General features: G+C 41.6%; 1 protein-coding gene across 12 annotated transcripts in view, besides 2 other annotated features; it reads right to left on the reverse strand.

The window, feature by feature from the left end:
• Nucleotides 1-6,370: part of a biological region, named in NCBI's record as "nucleoporin 98kDa recombination region", that runs on past the window's edge. NCBI's record gives its function as "recombination_partner: LOC106865368 | LOC106992256 | LOC107105350 | LOC107126281 | LOC107126288 | LOC107126359 | LOC107133509 | LOC107133517 | LOC107133518 | LOC107195252 | LOC107197952".
• Nucleotides 1-6,370: part of a mitotic recombination region, noted in NCBI's record as "NUP98 (NSD3) recombination sub-region within the nucleoporin 98kDa recombination region recombines with the NUP98-NSD3 recombination region", that runs on past the window's edge. NCBI's record gives the evidence for it as "EXISTENCE:nucleotide sequencing assay evidence [ECO:0000219][PMID:11986249]" and "EXISTENCE:Southern hybridization evidence [ECO:0000078][PMID:19380029]".
• NUP98 (nucleoporin 98 and 96 precursor) overlaps nucleotides 1-14,712 on the reverse strand; it is a 122,545-nt gene that overhangs the window by 71,936 nt on the left and 35,897 nt on the right. For 7 of the 12 annotated variants that reach the window (NR_157590.2, NR_157589.2, NM_001365129.2 and 4 more), the window contains exons 10-11: nucleotides 13,594-13,681; nucleotides 6,371-6,463 (exon numbers count right to left, since the gene is read on the reverse strand). Coding sequence is in view for 9 of the 12 variants with exons in the window: in NM_001365129.2 (NP_001352058.1) it covers nucleotides 6,371-6,463; nucleotides 13,594-13,681 (181 nt within the window). In the remaining 3 variants the exon portion in view is untranslated. Of the gene's footprint in view, nucleotides 1-6,370; nucleotides 6,464-13,542; nucleotides 13,682-14,712 lie in introns of all 12 variants that reach the window. The other 5 variants (NR_157591.1, NM_001365126.2, NM_005387.7 and 2 more) reach the window with 2 other exon arrangements.

Below are 14,712 nucleotides of genomic sequence, written 5' to 3' on the forward strand. Positions count from 1 at the left end.
AGTTGTCTGTAAAGGGATTATCATAAAATGACTTGACTACTGACTATTGCAATGGAAAAATAGGTATTTTTATCCAGATCTGCCTTGTTTTATGCACAAATGGCTTTTTATGTTTAATGAAAGAAGTAATGGTCCACAATTTGAGAGACATTCTGAGTGTGATGTTGTGTGATACAATAAAGTTCTGGTAATTTGTCAAGATAGGAAAAATGTGCTATATTTATGATTAGCTGTAGCAGTTATAAAGAAGCTATATGGGGGGCAAAATGGTAATAGTGGCCTTAGAAACTCCAAAGAAAATCAAGAAAAAATTGAAAATGGTTATTTTCCTTTTGAGATATTCCAAAATTGTTAGAATTTAAATTTATCTGAGGCATCTATTAGCACCAGAAAGATTTTTCTATGTCTCTCTTAGTATTACAATCAACCTTCCTATATGTAGCCATTACTTCAAGGAAAACCTGTAGAACAAAGGTTTATTATTATTACTAAATAACCAAGGCAGTGGTGTGCAATTGATAGTGCTAATGATGTTAATATCACTATAAAACAAGAAATTGTTATGTCCATGAGTTAATGAATGTTTCTTAGTCTCAACACATGGGGCGGGAGAAAATCACATGCCAAGGGTCAGTATAAAACCTTTTATACTAAGATTGGTTTCTTACATCGAAGCATACAAAAATATCTTATGTATCTGTACATTTAATATTTGTGTAACAACTACTCATTAAGTACCCAAACGCCCACATTACAGGAGGCTTGAGTTTGAATCACCATCACTGAAAATAAGAAGCTGCAGAGAAACACCCACTTAGCTATTGCCTCCCAAAAATACAGCCTGAAGCTATAGTGCTAGTCTACCTGTTAAACCATGAAATGCAGAGTTCAGGAACGTGGGTGTTTATATGCAAGTCTCAGGAAATGTTCCTCCCAAACCCAAGGGCCTGCTTCAGCAGATGTGATCATCAGGGAATTGCAACAGTGTGTGTGCTTGCTGACTCACAATTCTCATTTCCCTACATGATATGCTGCTGCTAAGGTTGGGGGTGTAAAATTCTTAATTGATTGTATTCATCTTTTAGTTTATAGGAGAGGCATGTATAAGGAATATACAACAGCAACACAATGCAGTTTGTTTATTGTGAGAGAGAACTGTTGAAGAAAAACAGAATATATTAAAATAAAATGTTAGGATATTACATTATTGTGGAATGAGAGACAAAAGCATCAGAAAAAGAATTATAGAGTCTTGGAATATGGGGGAAGACATTGCTAATCATAACCTACAAGATCCAGGAGCCAAAGTAATTCTGATCACATAAAAATAAAACTTGTGGCTGGGCGCAGTGGCTCATGCCTGTAATCCCAGTACTTTGGAAGGCCGAGGCAGGAGGATCACGAGGTCAGGAGTTCCAGACTAGCCTGGCCAAAATGGTGAAACCCCATTTCTACTAAAAATACAAAAATTAGGTTGAGGCACAAGAATTGCTTGAGCCTGGGAGGCAGAGGTTGCAGTGAGCCGAGATCACACCACTACACTCCAGCCTGGGCAACAGAGCAAGAGTCCATCTTGGAAAAAAATAAAACTTGTGGCCCAGCACAGTGGCTTATGCCGGGAGGCTGAGGCAGGCAGATCACCTGAGGTCAGTCGTCCAAGACCAGCCTGGCCAACATGGTGAAACCCCATCTCTATTAAAATTACAAAAATTATTAACAACAAAAAAAGAAAAGCCTTCCTTAATTTGAATTTGAGCAAAAGAAAAAAAAGAAAAGAAAAGCCTTCCTTAATTTGCCCGTACCAAAGCTATTTTTTCCTACAGGGTTGGAAGAAACCATTATTTGATTTCAGATGATATATTCTGAATATGTTTAGGGATCACACTGTACAACAAAATGAGAGCTTTTGTTTTTATTTCTTGCAAAATTTATGTGGTAGAAGTTGGATAAGTTGAAAAGCTCAAATGAAATGCTTTCTGGGGTATAATGAGGAATTTTCATTAAAAAAAAAAAAACAATTATATAACCAAAAAGAGTTAATATCCACAATACACAAAGAATCCTTAAAAATAAATTAAGAGGGCCGGGCGCGGTGGCTCACGCCTGTAATCCCAGCACTTTGGGAGGCCGAGGCGGGTGGATCATGAGGTCAGGAGATCGAGACCATCCTGGCTAACAAGGTGAAACCCCGTCTCTACTAAAAATACAAAAAATTAGCCGGGCGCGGTGGCGGGCGCCTATAGTCCCAGCTACTCGGGAGGCTGAGGCAGGAGAATGGCGTGAACCCGGGAAGCGGAGCTTGCAGTGAGCCGAGATTGCACCACTGCAGTCCGCAGTCCGGCCTGGGCGACAGAGCGAGACTCCGTCTCAAAAAAAAAATAAATAAATAAATTAAGAGGCCGGGCACAGAGGCTCACGCCTGTAATCCCAGCACTTTGGGAGGCCGAGGCTGGTGGATCACTTGAGGTCAGGAGTTCGACACCAGCCTGGCCAACATGGTGAAACCCCATCTCTAACTAAAAAAATACAGTTAGCCGGGTGCAGTGGCACATGCCTGCAATCCCAGCTACATGGGAGGCTGAGGCAGGAGAATCACTTGAACCCAGGAGGCGGAGGTTGCCATGAGCTGAGATCACACCATTGTACTCCAGCCTGGCAACGAGAGAAACTCGGTCTCTAAATAAATAAATAAATAAAATATAAATTAACAAGAATCTCAAGTTAGTGGTAGGTGCAGAAAAAAAGAAACAATAATCCAACACTATGAACAGAGAACTGACTTAAATGGCAAATAAAAAAAAAAACAAAGATATTCACCTTTGCCAGTAATCAGTGAGGTGCAAACTGGAATGTACCAATTTCTACTGTCATGTATGAAAAGACAAAAAAGCCCAGTATGGAAAATACAGAAAAATGGGCATTGTATATAATGTGAGCAACACAAACTGGTATTTTTGAAAGGCAAATTAGCAAATTCAACCAAAATCTGAAATATGCGTATATTCCAACACTGCAATTCCAATTTGATGTATCAATCCTACAATAAACTAACACCTGCAAAATTATGTAACAAAAAATGTTCACTGAGGGTTTTGCCAACATCATCAAATAAATGTCCATCAATAGGTGAAATGTTAAATAATGGTATATGTATGATGTGTGTAAATTGTGTGTACTTAATGGAATACTAAATAATTTTTTTTAGGAATGAGACTTTTCTCTGGAGTGCAGCGGAATGATCACCGCTCACTGCAGTCTCAACTTCCAAAGCTCAGGTGATTCTCCCACCTCAGCCTCCCGAGTAGCTTGGACTACAGGCACATGCCACCAAGCCCAGCTAACTTTTTGCATTTTTAGTACAGAGAGGGTCTCCCTACATTGCCCAAGTAATCCGCCCACCTCAGCCTCCCAAAGACCTGGCATTACAGGCATGAGCCACCTCATCCAGCTCTAAATAGCGTTTTTCAAAATGAGATTGATATGTATGTACTGACCAAAAGAAAAACTGGTATTATGTGAAATGAAAATACAAGTCACAGAACACTATGTAAGACAGTGCTTTCAAACATTTTCAACTACAGCACATGCAATGAAAATCACTGAGATCCGAAACACATAAACACAAACACAACTGAGACAAAGTTTCATAAAAGGATACTAACCTTAACATTTTAAATGTTTTTTTTTTGTTTTTTGTTTTAGGACAGCGTCTCATTCTGTTACCCAGGCTGGAGTGCAGTGGTACTATCGTAACCCACTGCAGCATCTACCTCCCAGGCTGAAGCGATCCTCCCACAGCACATCTCATTCAGCTGCTTGAGTAGCTAGGACTACAGGCACATGCCACCATGCATATCTATTTTATTTTATTTTTTTGATAGCATCTTACTATGTTGCTCAAGATGATGTTAAACTCCTGACGTCAAGCAATCCTCCTGCCTAGGCCTCCCAAAGTGCTGGGATTAGAAGCATAACCCATTAGGCCCAGCCTACTGATTTTTAATTCTACTTCATTTTCTTCAAATGCTGATTGCAGGCAACTATATTAATTATAACCAACTAATGCACCTCAGTCTCTGGCTTAAAAGTCACTCATACAGGGTGTAGTTTCCATTTAAAAATATAATCCCAGGCCGGGCACGATGGCTCACACCTGTAATCCCAGCACTTTGGGAGGCCGAGGCGGGCAGATCACCTGAGGTCAGGGGTTTGAGACCAGCCTGACCAACATGGAGAAACCCCGTCTCTCCTAAAAATACAAAATTAGCTGGGCATGTGGGCACATGCCAGTAATCCCAGCTACTCGGGAGGCTGAGGCAGGAGAATAGCTTGAAACCAGGAGGCGGAGGCTGCGGTGAGCCGAGATTGTGCCATTGCACTCCAGCCTGGGTAACAAGAGCAAAACTCCGACTCAAAAAACAAACAAGAATATAATCCTAAACCCTAAATATAAAAGACATGTATGTACAGACGTGTGTGTGTGTAAACATGTCCGAAAAATGCACAGAAACGGGTCTGACAAGATACATGCCAAACAACCCTAATCATTTCACAGCTGAAAAAGACTGGACTTTTCATGAAATTTCTGAATTGTTAAAAACTTTTTACCAGCACTTACATCTTTTATCTTAAGCAGAGAGCACTGACTCATGCCTATATTCCCAGCACTTTAAGAGCTCAAGGCAGGAGGATGGCTTCAGCCCAGGGGTTCGAGACCAGCCTGGGCAAAACAGGTCGACCTCATCTCTCCAAAATATTAAAAAACTAGCCAAGCATGGTGGCTTGCACCTGTTGTCCCAGTTACTAGGGAGGCTGAGGTGGGAGGATGGTTTGAGCCTGGGAGGTAGAGGTTGCAGTGAGCTGTGATCATGCCAATGCACTCCACCCTGGGTAACAGAGCAAGAACCTGTCTCAAAATAAAACACCTTTTATCTTAAAAAGAAGACTGAAGGCTGGGCGCGGTGGCTCATGTCTGTAATCCCAGCACTTAGGGAGGTTGAGGTGGGAGGATCACGACGTCAGGAGTTCGAGACCAGCCTGGCCAACATGGGGAAACCCTGTCTCTACTAAAAATACAAAAATTAGCTGGGTACGGTGGCGTGCGACTGTAGTCCCAGCTACTCGGGAAGTGGAGGTTGCAGTGAGCCGAGATTATGCCACTGCACTCCAGCCTGGGGGACGGAGCAAGACTCCATCTCAAAAAAAAAAAAGGGAAATTGAAAAAAATAAAAATAAAAACCACAAAAGCAGATCATAGTACAAAATGAGGTTCCATTAAGAAGGAAATGACAGCCAGGCACGGTGGCTCACACCTGTAATCCCAGCACTTTGGAGGCCAAGGAGGGAGGATCACCTGAGGTCAGGAGTTCAAGACCAGCCTGACCAACATAGTGACACCCCATCTCTACTAAAAATACAATAATTAGCCAAGGATGGTGATACACACCTGTAATCCCAGCTACTAGGAAGGCTGAGGGAGGAGAATTGCTTCAACCTGGGAGGCAGAGATTGCAGTGAGCTGAGACTGCACCACTGCACTCCAGCCTGAACGACAGAGTGAGACTCCATCTCCAAAATAAATAAATAAATAAATAAATAAATAAAAAAGAAGGAAATGACAGATGAATGCTCAGATGATAGAAGGGGAAAAAAAAAACAGATTAACTGGACAGTGGAAGCAGACTATGGAAATGGTTTGCAACTAAATGACCACACCTGCAGTCAAACGAATTGAAAAAGTAGGCAAAACTCTATGTTTAACTAAACAACCTAGTTTTACTGTACATGCTAAAACACTTATATATTTTATGACCATCATCACGCTCCAGCTGTTTAAAAACAGCTGGGCAGGTAGAAGGGTCAGTATCTTCAAAGGCACTGAAAAATAGTTGTTAACAGTAGGAATCAGGGAAAAGGGGTGACACTGGTCTATATGACAATGGAACTAAATGAAATTCTCCTTGCAAAGGAGAATTACATCAGCATGTGCTCTTATTGCTCTGCCTTTCTATTAGGGCTTACTTTGATGAACAGTTTAAGGTCTCAAATCCCTGTTACAAAAGTAACATGGGGAAACTGAAAGTTAATGTCCTCATGACAATTCTCACATTAAATACTAAAAATCCCAAAAAGACCAGGACTATCAGAGGACATTTTGTAGAAAAGGGAGCATACAGCTTCTAACACAAACATGCCAATATTTTAAAGCCTGGTAAAGCATAACTGCTGGGAATGTCTTATAAACGCAACTGGAAAAACGAAAAGGTAGACTTCTTAATTCCAGTAACATAATCAAACAGATCTCTCAAGTTCCAGAAACTAGAAAGTCAAGCTGTGTCACTTCCTAGATCTCATGGTAGCAGTTTCTTACCTGTTCCAAATCCTGCACCAAGCCCAGTTCCAAGAGTCCCAGGTGCTGGTTTACTTCCAAAAATACTATTCCCACTGGTATTTGTGCCAAAACCTAGGAAGACAAAAGAATGAGTGGATTGTACTTTTAATATAACTCTCAATTTCCTCTATAAGGGAGTTTAACACAAAGCAGTCTGACTTTAAGTTGTGAACCTTTCAGTTAATATTTAGGACTCCTAACTTGTAGGATAACTTAAAAAAAAAATTTCACATATGCAAACAAGTCTTCATATTTACTTAATTACATTTCAGCCTTGAAATATCAATTCAAAGGCCATGCGCGGTGGCTCACGCCTGTAATCCCAGCACTTTGGGAGGCCGAGGCTGACAGATCACCTGAAGTCAGGAGTTCAAAACAAGCCTGGCCAAGATGGTGAAACCCCGTCTCTATAAAAATACAAAAAAAAAAAAAAAAAAAAAAAAAAAAAAAAAAAAGGCCAGGTATGACGGTGCGTGCCTGTAATCCCAGCTACTCGGGAGGCTAAGGTGGGAAAATCGTTTCAACCCAGGAGGCAAAGGTTGCAGTGAGCCTAGATTGCGCCACTGCACTCCAGCCTGGGCAACAGAGCAGGACTCTGTCTCGAAAACAAATAAAAATAAATAAATAAATAAAATAAAATAAAGAAATATCAATTCAATATAGGATAATATCAATATTCAAGCAAAGTGAACACACTTGAGCTTTGGGAACATTGCCTTTGTAAGGCCCAAAGCTTTCAATGCAAGTTTCAAGTTTATTTAGAAGAGAAATTAATTCCCCCTAACTTGTACTAAAAAAAATGAAACAACTGGCCAGGTGTGGTGGCTTACGCCTGTAATCCCAACACTTTGGGAGGCCAAGGTGGGCGGATCATGAGGTCAAGAGTTCGAGAACAGCCTGGGGAACATGGTGAAACTCTGTCTCTACAAAATATACAAAATTAGCCGGGCATGATGGCGCATGCCTATAAACCCAGCTACTTGGGAGGCTGAGGCAGGAGTATCACTTGAACCCGGGAGACGGGGGTTGCAGTGAGCCAAGATCGTGCCACTGCACTCTAGCATGGATAGAGTGAGACTCTGTTTCAAAAAAAATACAAAATAAAATAAAAATAAAACAATCAACAAAGACACTTTAACTGAACCTAAAGGTCCTTGCTAAGAAAAAAATTACTTACAAAACTTTCCACAGTAGCTTTTATTTTGAATAGATGAACCTAGCCAGGATAGTAACGTGTAGCTGATTACACGTGAGAAGTCTTCTTCACTATGACCCACCATTTAAACAAAATCCTATAATTTCCCTTTAAAATCCACAGGTATCAGCCAGGCACGGTGGCTCACAACTGTAATCCCAGCACTCTGGGAGGCCAAGGTGGGCAGGTCACTGGAGTTCACAAGTTCAACGCCAGTCTGGCCAACATGGAGAAACCCCACCTCTACTAAAAATACACAAATTAGCTGGGTGTGGTGGTGCACACCCAGAATCCCAACCACTTGGGAGGCTGAAGCAGGAGAATTGCTTAAACCCGGGAGGCAGAGGCTGCAGTAAGTCGAGATCGCACCACTGCACTCCAGCCTAGACGACATAGCGAGACACTATCTCAAAAAAAAAAAAAAAAAAAAAAATCCATAGGTATCAAACAAAGATCCTATTCTGTACTGCTGCCATTACTTTTCTTTTCTTCATCTATGCCCACAGTTTCATTATTCTTTTTGTAAATAAATATCAACAAAACAATTAATGAATATGTCATTAATTTCTCATGAGAGAAAAGAAATCATTAGCCAGAAAACCCTGTTTGCAGAACATATGAAGTCATTTAAAAGTCATAAAGCACTGGGCATGATGGCTCACGCCTGTAATCCCAACACATTGGGAGGCAGAGGCAGGTGGATCACTTGAGGAAAGGAGTTTAAGACTAGCCTGGCCAACATGTGAAACCTCTTCTCTACTACCACGAAAAAAAAAAAAAAAATTAGCTGGCTGTGGTGGTGCACGCTTGGAATCCCAGCAATTTGGGAGGCTGACGCAGGAAGATCGCTTGAACCAAGGAGGCAGAGGGTTACAGTGAGCTGAGATCACACCACTGCACTCCAGCCTGGGCAACAGAGCAAGACTCCGTCTCCAAAAGAAAAAAAAAATCATGGAGGAAAAAGTAGCCCAAAAAGATAACAAACAGAATAAAGAGACTATTTTAGAACAGATGAAAGTATCACTAATATTATACTTTGTTGTGCCAGTATTTGGATTATTATCTCAATGAAAAAAATCAAGAAGAAAGCTGAAGAATATAAAAGTTTAAAAACAATCGTATTTCATGTCATTTTAAAATTCAAGCAAGCAGGCCGGGCGCAGTGGCTCACGCCTGTAATCCCGCCACTTTGGGAGGCCAAGGCAGGTGGATCACAAGGTCAGGTGTTCAAGACCAGCCTGGCCAAGATGGTGAAACCCCATATCTACCAAAAAATACAAAAATTAGCCGGGTGTGGTGGCAGGCGCCTATAATCCCAACTACTTGGGAGGCTGAGGCAGAGAGCTGCTTGAACCTGGGAGGCGAAGGTTGCAGTGAGCCAAAATCACGCCACTGCACTCCAGCCTGGGTGACAGAGAAAGACTCCATCTCGAAAAAAATAAATACATGAAATAAAATCCAATCAAGTAACCTGACTTAATCGCAATATATTTGACTTAGACATTCATTGAATCTCTTCTTTAATTCTTCTAATAGCTATGCCACAAAAATGGGGTGCTGCCTACTCAAGCATCATCAATTTTCCTTGATGAAAACACAAAAAATGTACTTGGAGATATTCTTTTCCTTTTTGAATAAAAATTTAATCAAAAGGGATCTTACAGTCCCATAAGCAGCAGAAAACAAGACACTCGTGAACTATCTCAAACCCACAGAAGGGAAATAAATCCCAACTTACACTGTTTATACCACACATTTCCTCCGATTCTCACTGACAAGTTTATCGACTTGTAAAATTCAATTTTACAAATTACAATTAAAAAGACAATTCAAATTCGGCACACAAGTTGGTGAGACAACTCAGATAAAGATGACACCTTTCATTTTCATATCACTGAAGATGACTGTAAATATATTCGCACACCAAAAAAAAACCTCTAAGCAAATCAGAAATCTGCAACCATCACTGCAACTTCTGCCTCCTGGGTTCAAGTGATTCTTCTGCCTCAGCCTCCCGAGTAGCTGGGATTACAGGCATGCACCACCATGCCCAGCTAATTTTTGTGTTTTTAGTAGAAATGGGGTTTTACCATGCTGGCCAGTCTATCTCGAACTCCTGACCTCAGGTGATCTGCCAGCCTCGGTCTCCCAAAGTGCTGGGATTACAGGCGTGAATCACCACACTCGGCTTGTTTTTGTTTTTTGGGGAGACATCATATATATCTTAATATACATCACATATAACATCAAATATATCTTTAAAAAAATTTTGTCGGCTGGGCGCAGTGGCTCACGCCTGTAATCCCAACCTTTTGGGAGGCCGAGGTGAGCGGATCACGAGGTCAGGAGATCGAGACCATCCCGGCTAACATGGTGAAACCCCGTCTCTATTAAGAATACAAAAAAATTAGCCAGACGTGGCAGCATGCGCCTACAGTCCCAGCTACTTGGGAGGCTGAGGCAGTAGAATGGTGTGAACCCGGGAAGCGGAGCTTGCAGCAAACCGAGATCGTGCCGCTGCACTCCAGCCCGGGCGACAGAGCGAGACTCCATCTCAAAAAAAAAATATATATATATATCTATATATCTATATCTATATCTATATGTGTATATATATATATTTTATCAAGTGTAGCCTATACAAACACCCTTATAGTGTTCAGATAAAAATAACGGGCTGGGCGCAGTGGCTCATGCCTGTAATCCCAGCACTTTGGGAAGCCAAGACAGGCAGATCACCTGAGCTCAGGAGTTCGAGGCCAGCCTGGGTGACATGGCAAACCCTGTCTCTACAAAAACACAAAAATTAGCCAGGTGTGGTGGTGCATGCCTGTAGTCCCAGCTACTCAGGAGGCTGAGGTGGGAGGATCACTTGAGCCCAGGAGGCGGAGGTTGCAGTGAGCTGAGATCACACCACTACACTCGAGCCTGGGAGACAGAGATCCTGTCTCCCCAAAAAACAAACAAAACAAAACAAAACAAAAATGCCGAGCGTGGTGGTTCACACCTGTAATCCCAGCACTTTGGGAGACCGAGGCTGGCAGATCACCTGAGGTCAGGAGTTCCAGACTAGACTGGCCAACATGGTAAAACCCTGTTTCTACTAAAAATACAAAAATTAGCTGGGCGTGGTGGTGCATGCCTGTAATCCCAGCTACTTGGGAGGCTGAGGCAGAAGAATCGCTTGAACCCAGGAGGCAGAGGTTGCAGTGAGCTGAAATCGCGCCACTGTACTCCAGCCTGGGTGACAAGAGCGAAACTCCGTCTCAAAAAGAAAGAAAAGAAATAATATTTAATTTTGAACATGAAGCATGCTACAAAAAAAAGAGCTTTATTAAAAACACACATTTTCAAAGGGAGTGGAAATTGGTTCTTGAGGGACTAAAATATCACAGATTATGATAGTTTGTGGCCCTCCAGAGAGTCACACAACATAAGCAGATACACAGTATATGCGTGGTATGAAAATCTCAGGGGAAGGGAGATGATGATTAAGAAAAAACAGGCCAGGCGTGGTGGCTCACGCCTGTAATCCCAGCACTTTGGGAGGCCAATGCCGGCAGACCATGAGGTCACAACATCGAGACCATCCTGGCTAACATGGAGAAACCCCGTCTCTACTAAAAATACAAAGAAAAAATTAGCCGGGGGTGGTGGTGGGTGCCCGTAGTCCCAGCTACTCGGGAGGCTGAGGCAGGAGAATGGCGTGAACCCAGGAGGCAGGGCTTGCAGTGAGCCCATATCTGGCCACTGCACTCCCGCCTGGGAGACAGAGCGAGACTCCGTCTCAAAAAAAAAAAAAGAAAGAAAAAAGAAAAAACAGTCCCATTACAGCAGGTACAACTTAAAAATGAAAAAATAGTCTACAAACGGTCCATGGGGAAGGGTAAGTGATAATAGAAAAGGTTGAGAAACGCTAACTGACCCTTAACTATCTTTCCATTTTAATTTTATAGGAAAGAAATAAGTAGGGATGGGTGCAGTGGCTCACGCCTGTAATCCCAGCACTTTGGGAGGCCGAGGAGGGCAGATCGCCTGAGGTCAGGAGTTCAAAACCAGCCTCGCCAACACGGTGAAACCCCATCTCTACTTTAAATACAAAAATTAGCTGGGCATGGTGGCAGGCGCCTGTAATCCCACCTACTCAGGAGGCCGAGACAGGAAAATCACTCCAACCAGGGAGGTGGAGGTTGCAGTGAGCCAAGATTGTGCCATTGCACTCCAGCCTGGGAGGGAGGGGAGAGAGACAGAGAGAGACAGAGAGACAGAGACAGAGACAGAGAGAGACAGACACCAAGTATCTTACCCATGGTAACCAAGTCCACTGCCTCAAAACGGTTGTTTCAAACAGAGTTTATAGGAACTATAATCATTTCTGGCAGTGAATGAGCAAAATGACTAAAAGGGATTATAAAAATCAAACCAAACACATCAATTTAGGAATTGGTACCTATCAATGAACTATCTACCTTCTTCCTGTAGTTGATAAACATATTAATCTTCCAATAGATGTTTAATATGATCTCTTTCTCCAGTACAGGATCGTTCAAAAGCTCATTAAAAAACTGTTAACTGCTGACCTACACCAAATAACCATGTCTTTGTACTCAACTCCTAAAAAGAATCTATCAGTGCCTAGTGATGTATCTGGCACACAAAATCCTCAAGAAATACTTGAACCACTATTTCCCTCGACAAACAGAATAAACTTCCCATATCTGATCTGACAGATGCTGAATTTTGAAAACATAATTAGGTAGTTATAAGATATATTGAAAATATTGACTGGGTGTGGTGGCTCATGCCTATAATCCCAGCACTTTGGGAGGCCGAGGCAGGCAGATCATTTGAGCTCAGGAGTTCAAGACGAGCCTGGCCTACATGGTGAAACCTTGTCTCTACTAAAAACACAAAAATTAGCCAGGCACAGTGGTGCGTGCCTGTATTCCCAGCGACTCGGGAGGCTGAGGCAGGAGAATCGCTTGAACCCGGGAGGCAGAGTTTGCAGTGAGCCAAGATCGAGATCATGCCACTGCACTCCAGCCTGGGTGACAGAGACTACACCTCAAAAATAAATAAATAAATAAATAAAATAATATCATCATGTTCCATAAAACTGGTTTACATTTTTCCCAGTAGGTTAAGGTTTTGAAAATTATTGTTCAATCTTTTCTGTATTTTCCAGATTTTCAACAATGAATATACATACTATGAACATGCATTCAAAATTTTTGAAACCGTAAAAAATAAACTACTGAATAATCCCCCAAATCAGAAAGGTTTCAACTTTCTTCTATTATTTTTCTTATTTTATTATTTTTTTTAGAGACCTACTTTCACTATGTTGCCTAGGCTGGAATGCAGTGGCAATTCACAAGTGTGATCATAGCACACTGCAGCCTTGAACTCCTAAGTGATACTCCTGACTCAGCCTCCATAATGGCTGGGACTACAGGTGCTCACCATGATGCCTGGCATATTTTGACTTTCACTAAGAATAACCAGGCCAGGTGCAATGGCTCACACCTGTAATCTCAGCACTTTGGGAGGCTAAGGCGATATAAAGACCCTGTTCTCCACCAAAAAAAAAAAAAAAAACAAAAACAAAACAACACAACAAACCAACAACGACAAAAATAAGAATAACCAATTATCTTCTGTATGCTACCACAGGTTTGAAACCTGGCCTCATACAATGTGTTACTTAACCAAATGTGTTTCCTTTATGGTTTCTCAGCTATTGCTGAAGTAATCCAAAGTAAATGAAAGGCAATTTACATGCCTACTAATTATCTCAAGCCATATCCAGGACTTTAAACCTTTCCCTCTGGTACTTCACATCAAGCTACCGCTTACCTGAGAACTTTTAAATATTTCCAATCATACGAATCAGGAGAATAACGTGTGGTATAGTCAGTGTAACTTTAAGAGAGCCAAACCTGCTTTTTATATGTACCAAAATTAGAAGTGTTTGTATTGGTTCCTAAAGTCAGGGTTGGTTTGTTACCAAAGAGCCCGCCACTGGTTGTACCAAATGAAGGTGCACTGGTTGTGCTGCTTCCAAATGTAGTAAGCTTGTTATTGCCAAACAGGGTCTAAAAAGAATAGAATACAGGAAAATTTAAAATAATATTAAGACACACACCAAACTAAATACAGGTTACCTCAGGTATACTGGGTTGGGTATGGGGTGGGAGAAAGATGTCCTAACATTCATAAAAAAGGTAGAAAAAAGATGAATAAAGGCTATCAAAAAATAATCTGGGCAAGATTAACTTTATAAACACGGAATGCTTCTGGCCTGAAAAGTTAATGGTAACCCCTAAGGATTACGACTGAAACACAATGAATCCAATGAAACCAGATTTCAGTGAGGCAAAGAAAAAAATAACAAGGCCATCAAATATCTTTTTACCTGTTAAGAGAAATGTAGCAAATACTTGCTTTGCCAGAAGAAATCACTACAAGAAAAACTTTGAACATGCTACATGGATGTTCCTTGAAAATGCTATGCTAAGTGAAAGACATCAATCACAAAAGACCACATATTATGATTCCATTTACATGAAGTGTTCAAAATGGTCAAATCCATAGAGAGAAAGTAGGCTTAAGATGATTACAGGAAAATCAGGAGTGACTGCCAATGACTATGGCATTTCTTTTTGGCATAATGAGTATGTTCTAAAATTAAATATGGTGATAGTTGCACACTTTGTTGATATACTAAAAATCACCTAGCTATACACTTTAAAGAGACAAATTGTATGGCATGTGGACTATACATCAATAAATCTGTCACTAGAAAGTACTAGAAGCCGGGCACAGTAGCTCACGCCTGTAATCCCAGCATTCTGAAAGGCCAAGGCGGAAGGATCCTTGAGGCCAGGAGTTACCAGCCTAGCCAACGTGGCAAAATCCCACCTCTACTAAAAAATACAAAAATTAAGGCCAGGAGTGGTGGCTCACGTCTGTAATCCCAGCACTTTCGGAGTCCAAGGCAGGTGGATCACGAGGTCAGGAGTTCGAGACCAGCCTGGCCACCATGGTGAAACCCCATTCTCTACTAAAAATACAAAAATCAGCTGGGCGCAGTGGCGGGCGCCTGTAATCCCAGCTACTCGGGAGG

Source organism: Homo sapiens, chromosome 11 (genome assembly GCF_000001405.40).
Source record: "Homo sapiens chromosome 11, GRCh38.p14 Primary Assembly".
Lineage (NCBI taxonomy): Eukaryota > Metazoa > Chordata > Mammalia > Primates > Hominidae > Homo > Homo sapiens.